The 6,350-nt window shown below is 54.7% G+C and overlaps 4 annotated features.

Moving 5' to 3' along the window:
- Positions 937–1,885: an enhancer, noted in NCBI's record as "H3K27ac-H3K4me1 hESC enhancer chr8:146018867-146019815 (GRCh37/hg19 assembly coordinates)". NCBI's record gives its function as "activates a minimal SCP1, AML or CMV promoter by ChIP-STARR-seq in primed H9 embryonic stem cells {active_cell/tissue: H9 hESC(primed)}" and the evidence as "EXISTENCE:reporter gene assay evidence [ECO:0000049][PMID:30033119]".
- Positions 3,179–4,077: an enhancer, noted in NCBI's record as "NANOG-H3K27ac-H3K4me1 hESC enhancer chr8:146021109-146022007 (GRCh37/hg19 assembly coordinates)". NCBI's record gives its function as "activates a minimal SCP1, AML or CMV promoter by ChIP-STARR-seq in naive H9 embryonic stem cells {active_cell/tissue: H9 hESC(naive)}" and the evidence as "EXISTENCE:reporter gene assay evidence [ECO:0000049][PMID:30033119]".
- Positions 4,078–4,976: an enhancer, noted in NCBI's record as "NANOG-H3K27ac-H3K4me1 hESC enhancer chr8:146022008-146022906 (GRCh37/hg19 assembly coordinates)". NCBI's record gives its function as "activates a minimal SCP1, AML or CMV promoter by ChIP-STARR-seq in naive H9 embryonic stem cells {active_cell/tissue: H9 hESC(naive)}" and the evidence as "EXISTENCE:reporter gene assay evidence [ECO:0000049][PMID:30033119]".
- Positions 5,961–6,210: a silencer, noted in NCBI's record as "silent region_19710". NCBI's record gives its function as "represses an Ori minimal core promoter by ATAC-STARR-seq in GM12878 lymphoblastoid cells {active_cell/tissue: GM12878}" and the evidence as "EXISTENCE:reporter gene assay evidence [ECO:0000049][PMID:35858748]".

Here is a 6,350-nt window from a genome sequence, read left to right on the forward strand (position 1 = left end):
CCGCGCAGGCGCACCAGGAGACGCGGCTGAAGGTGTCCTGGTGTGCGTGGGCTCGGAAGGAGGGTGCAGGAGTGCTCGGCTTTCACCGGGGTCTCCGGGAGGGCAGGTGTTTTCTGAGTGGCCGAGGAGGCGCCAAGTGGTTGAGTGACCTGTCCAGGGTGTCACAGAGCGACCCACTCCGGGCCACGGGGTCTGGGGCTCCCGGCTTGCCTGGTGAGGGGCTTCCGTGTAGGCCGAGGGGGTTCTCGCTGGTGCAGAGCAGGAGATGGGCAGGGGAGACGCGTGGACCCACTCGTGGAACGTCATGGTTTGCAGGTGGCAAATGTCCGTCTCCCTGATGAACGGGCGCTTCTGGACGCGGGGACCTTATCCACTGTAGGCCCTTGGAGAGGTCGGGCGTCGAGGAGAGGAGCCCCGGGATCCTTGCCGAGGGTGAGGGCCGGCCGGCCCAGGAAGTGGGGAGGGCCAAGCTGGAGGGTCCCGGGTCGAGGAAGAAGGAGCGGGGATGGGCTGGGTCACATGCTGCGGAGTGGACGAATAATGGGAGACTGGACCGTACCCTGACCAGAACCCTGTGCGGGAGAGGTGGGGAAGGAGCAAGAAATGGAGGCTGGGAGGGGCTGTGGGGGCCTGAGCTGGAAAGAGTCAGCCCGACTGGGGGTGTCCTGCGGTACGTGCTGTGGAGAGGGGCTTCGCGGAATCGGGCCCCTAACGGGTGGGACCCCGAGGCCGCGGGTGGGGGATGGTGGGGAAGAGGTTTTCCAGGAGAGAGTCCCTGGCTGAGTGAGCACTGTCGAGCACACGCGAGGCCGTGGGTGGGGAGGCAGCAAGGAGGTGAAGGCGGGGGTCCCAGTGGGCGGGAGAGGCTTGCTGTCGGTACTGGGAGGTGGGGTGTTTCCTAGACCCTGCAGGGGCTGAGGCAGGGTTGACATCGTGAGAAGGAGACAGGAGAGGGTGGAAGGGTGTCCTGTGCCCGCTGTTGCTCACAGGGGAGAGGAGGGGCTGCTGCAGGAGGCCCTCCCCTAGGGTCGGCAGGGGGATGGAGGAGGAGCTGCCCGGTGGGGACTCAGGAAGCAGCACAGCCCACAGCTAGGGCCAGGGGCTGAGGGGCAGGACTGGACCCTGGGGGCAGGGTGAGGGGTTCTGGGGTCAGCCCAAAATTGGCCCACAGGCCCAGCCTGTCCGTCACTCCTGAACAAATCTGCTTCTCTGGAGGAGCAGAAGGAGAGTTGGGTGCGGGATAGAGGTGAGAAGAGTGCTTGGACACACAGGCTGTGGGGTCCCCAAGATGGTCTCACGGGTCTCTGGGATGAGATGCGGCTACCAAGACCCTACGTGCAGCCAGGAGACTGACCAGGCCGCTTTAAGGCTGGAAGAGACATGGCCCTGCCAGCATCCACCTGACAGTCCTGAGGACTGTGTGACTGGGCTCAGTCTTGACCTTCACGGGAGACCACACAGCCTGGTACACAGCAGGGGCTATGCAGTTCTGGGTCACTTGACAGCCACTCCAGACGAGGCCGCAAGCACTGGACATGGGGTTTTCCAGCCTTCTGGGGTGGAGCCATCTTTCTTAGGCCAGGATTAGTCCCTCCCCACACAGTGCCTCTGCTTGTGCTAGTGGCCTGGTGACCTCCCTTATGCCATCCGACGTCACCCCAACCTGCTGTTCAAACTTTATTGTTAGAAATTATTTATTTCCGGCCGGGTGCGGTGGCTCATGCCTGTAATCCCAGCACTTTGGGAGGCCGAGGCAGGCGGATCACCTGAGGTCAGGAGTTCCAGACTAGCCTGATCAATATGGACAAACCCCGTCTATACTAAAAATACAAAAGTTAGCTGGGTATGGTGGCAGGTACCTGTAATCCCAGCTACTCGGGAGGCTCAGGCAGGAGAATCACTGAAACCCAGGAGGTGGAGGTTGTGGTGAGCTGAGATTGTGCCATTGCACTCCAGCTTGGGAAACAAGCGCAAAACTGTGCCTCAAAAAAAAAGTTATTTCCTTCTGAAATTGTTCTTCAAATGTTTCTTGTCACATACATGCAGCAGTAATTTGGTAGAAACATGAGAAATTGTGATCCTCTGTCTTGCTCAGCTTGGCTCCCCTCCCCAACCAGCATTATCTGCCCGCACCCCCAATCCCCAACAACTGATGTGTCCTTATCTCCCTGCCCCCTACCGCGCCCCCGTAGCATAATTGTATGCCACATATGGGCACACCATCACATATGGCTAAAATGGGATCACTCCGTAATGAATGAATATATATATATATATATTTTTTTTTTTTGAGATGGAGTCTCGCTCTTGTTGCCCAGGCTGGAGTGCAATGGCGTGATCGGGGCTCACTGCAACCTCCGCCTCCCGGGTTCAAGCGATTCTCCTATCTCAGCCTCCCGAGTAGCTGGGACTATAGGCGCACACCACCATGCCCAGCTAATTTTTGTATTTTTTAGTAGAGACGGTGTTTCACCATATTGGTCAGGCTGGTCTTGAACTTCTGACCTTAGGTGATCCACCTGCCTTGGCCTCCCAAAGTGCTGGGATTACAGGCATAAGCTACCGTGCCTGGCCAATGCTAGGCACTTTTTATGGGCCAGGGACTGATCTAAGTACTTTTCATGCACACTGCTTTTCTTTTCTTTTTTTCTGAGATGGAGTCTCACTCTGTTGCCCAGGCTGGAGTGCAGTGGCGCGATCTCGACTCACTGCAACTTCTGCCCACAGAGTTCTAGCGATTCTCCTGCCTCAACCTCCCGAGTAGCTGGGATTACAGGCGCCCGCCACCGCACCCAGCTAATTTTTTGTATTTTTAGTGGAGACGGGGTTTCACCATCTTGGGCAGGCTGGTCTTGAACTCCTGACCTCGTGATCCACCCGCCTTGGCCTCCCAAAGTGCTGGGATTACAGGTGTGAGCCACCATGACCCACCTCATGCACGCTGCTTTTCTAATTTAGTGTCTTATAATTGTGGAGCTATGTCTTGTGAAAAGGTATTTCCAACAAGATTCTCTGAGATAGTTTTCCCATGTGCTTTCAGTGCCTCAGGGGTGGGGTAGTCCATAGGAGCCCCTGTTACCCATTCAGGAGTGGGTGAGGGGAGACCCCAGGGACCAATGCCAGCAGGAAGAGGTGGGGTGGTTGGGAGGATGGAGATTGCACATGCTTGGGGACAGCTTGGAGGTGCGTGTTAGAATTTTTCTGAGAGGGGTTAAGGTGCTGTTTTGTGAAGCACAACGAGTTAGTGAGTGCTAAATCTCCATGACCCCTGCCGTCTATATGGCTTGGATACGTCATGTCAACCTGACATAAAGCCATGGGTGAACATTCTCTGGGACCCCACCTGTGTGTGGGGAAAAGCAAGAGAGATCAGATTGTTACTGTGTCTGTATAGAAAGAAGTAGACATAGGAGACTCCATTTTGTTCTGTACTAAGAAAAATTCTTCTGCCTTGAGATTCTGTTAATCTATGACCTTATCCCCAACCCCGTGCTCTCTGAAACATGCGCTGTGTCAACTCAGGGTGAAATGGATTAAGGGTTGTGCAGGATGTGCTTTGTTAAACAAATGCTTGAAGGCAGCATGCTCCTTAAGAGTCATCACCACTCCCTAATCTCAAGTACCCAGGGACACAAACACTGCGGAAGGCCGCAGGGACCTCTGCCTAGGAAAGCCAGGTATTGTCCAAGGTTTCTCCCCATGTGATAGTCTGAAATATGGCCTCGTGGGAAGGGAAAGACCTGACCGTCCCCCAGCCCGACACCCGTAAAGGGTCTGTGCTGAGGAGGATTAGTATAAGAGGAAGGCATGCCTCTTGCAGTTGAGACAAGAGGAAGGCATCTGTCTCCTGCCCCTCCCTGGGCAATGGAATGTCTCGGTATAAAACCCGATTGTACGTTCCATCTACTGAGATAGGGAAAAACCGCCTTAGGGCTGGAGGTGGGACATGCGGGCAGCAATACTGCTTTGTAAAGCATTGAGATGTTTATGTGTATGCATATCTAAAAGCACAGCACTTAATCCTTTACCTTGTCTATGATGCAAAGACCTTTGTTAACGTGTTTGTCTGCTGACCCTCTCCCCACTATTGTCTTGTGACCCTGACACATCCCCCTCTCAGAGAAACACCCACAAATGATGAATAAATATTAAGGGAACTCAGAGGCTGGCGGGATCCTCCATATGCTGAACGCTGGTTCCCCGGGTCCCCTTATTTCTTTCTCTATACTTTGTCTCTGTGTCTTTTTCTTTTCCAAGTCTCTCGTTCCACCTTACGAGAAACACCCACAGGTGTGGAGGGGCAACCCACCCCTTCACATGTGTGATTAAATAGTTGAAGTTTTGGCATCCTTTTACAATGAGAGAATAGCACAGGATTTACATACAATTTTTGGACATCCAAGTTCACCACAATACCCATATTGTCTGAAATTATGTGCCATGGCCCTGAGGGGAGTCATGATCCCTCCCCCAAAGATGGTTGTGGCTGTCAGGACACAGCAAGTACCCACAATTCCCTCCTGGTGAAGAGTGCCTCTGTCCTACCCAGCCTGTGCCTCACTCCTGAGCAAATCCGCTGTCAGCAGTGTGAATGCAGGAGACACCCTTGGTCCCCCAAAGAATCTGAGGAACCTAGGGGCATCCAGTCCTGGGACAAGGATCTATGTAGACATCATACAAGTTTAGCACCACCCATAGTGGAGTGCTGGGCTAAGCCTACTTAGACAGATATCACCCTCCTCACCCAGTTTCCCCTGTCCTTGTGAAAAGGAAGAAAATGATGGTTCCTGGTCTGTCTTGTGCTCAAATCTGACCCGGCTCCCAACCAGCTGTGGCTCTGGATGAGTCCCTTACCTTCTTTGATCCTCATTCCTCCTCCCAGGGTCTGGTTGCAATTCAGAGGATCTGAAAACCTAGAGTGTGTGTGAAACCATCTCTAAAGTGTGTGTGGAGGTGAGTGGGAACTCGGGAAACACCGAGTTTCATATATTGAACTGTTCCTCCCACTTGCATGATGGTTTCACAACACAGTTTAGTGGCTAAAGAATATGTGACTTGGAGCCAGGTCTGTGGGTTGGATCCCAGCTCTGTTACTTAAGAGATGAGACCTTGGCCAGGCACAGTGGCTCACGCCTGTAATCCCAGCACTTTGGGAGGTCGAGGCTGGCAGATCATCTGAGGTCGGGAGTTAGAGACCAGCCTGACCAACATGGAGTAACCCCCTCCTTACTAAAAATACAAAATTAGCCGGGCGTGGTGGCGCATGCCTGTAATCCCAGCTGCTCGGGAGGCTGAGGCAGGAGAATCACCTGAACCTGGGAAGTGGAGATAATGTTGAGCCAAGATGGCACCATTGCACTCCAGCCTGGGCAACAACAGTGAAACTCCGTCTCAAAAAAAGAGACTAGACCTTGGCAAATAACAGGGACACTATGCTCTCCTCATTTTAGTATGGGAACAGTAGTATTTTGATAGGATTACCATGAGGATTAAATTAGTAAATACAAAGAGCATACAAATGTTTACAGAAGTCACAGGGCTGTTAGAAGTCAGAATGGCCACCCTTGGGTGCAGACAGGAGAGGTGGTCTGAGAGTGATCAGAGGGAGCAGCAAAGACACTTCAAGATCCCAGAAACTGGCCCGGTGCGGTAGCTCACGCCTGTAATCCCAGCACTTTGGGAGGCCGAGGCGGGCGGGTCACCTGAGATCAGGAGTCCGAGATCAGCCCGGGCAACATGGTTAAACCCCGTCTCTACTAAAAATACAAAAATTAGTCGGGCGTGGTGGTGGGAACCTGTAGTCCCAGCTACTCCGGAGGCTCAGGTAGGAGAATCGCTTGAACCTGAGAGGCGGAGGTTGCAGTGAGCCCAGATCACACCATTGCACTCCAGCCTGGGGAACAAGAGCGAGACTCAGGCTCAAAAAAAAAAAAAAAAGTCATACTAAACAATGTCATAAATTTATATGAGACCGACCCTGGCCGGACGCCCCCGCTCCGCCCTTCCTGCGGGTCCGGGAGTCGATCCCCCACCGTGCTCCCCAACCCCCGCAGGCCACCCGGGGGCAGAGAGTGGGCGCAAGGGGTGAACGTTCGCTGCCTCCGATCCCGGGGGAAACGGAGCGCCGAGAACGTCGACGCCCTTCCGCGCCCGTCGGGCCTGGGACTGATACCCGGTCTGGCCCGGAACCCCCCAGGCGCGCCCCTAGCTGGGGCCCTGGCGACCGCCGCGCCGCAGGGGCTAGAAGCCGTCGAGACGCGAGCGCCATCGAGGCGCGCGGTCCTCCAGGCCTCCCAGAGCGGCGCAGCGGCCGTTTCCGGGGGCGGGGAAGGAACCGGAGCCTGAGAGCC

The sequence above is a fragment of the Homo sapiens genome, chromosome 8, assembly GCF_000001405.40.
Source record: "Homo sapiens chromosome 8, GRCh38.p14 Primary Assembly".
Taxonomy (NCBI): domain Eukaryota; kingdom Metazoa; phylum Chordata; class Mammalia; order Primates; family Hominidae; genus Homo; species Homo sapiens.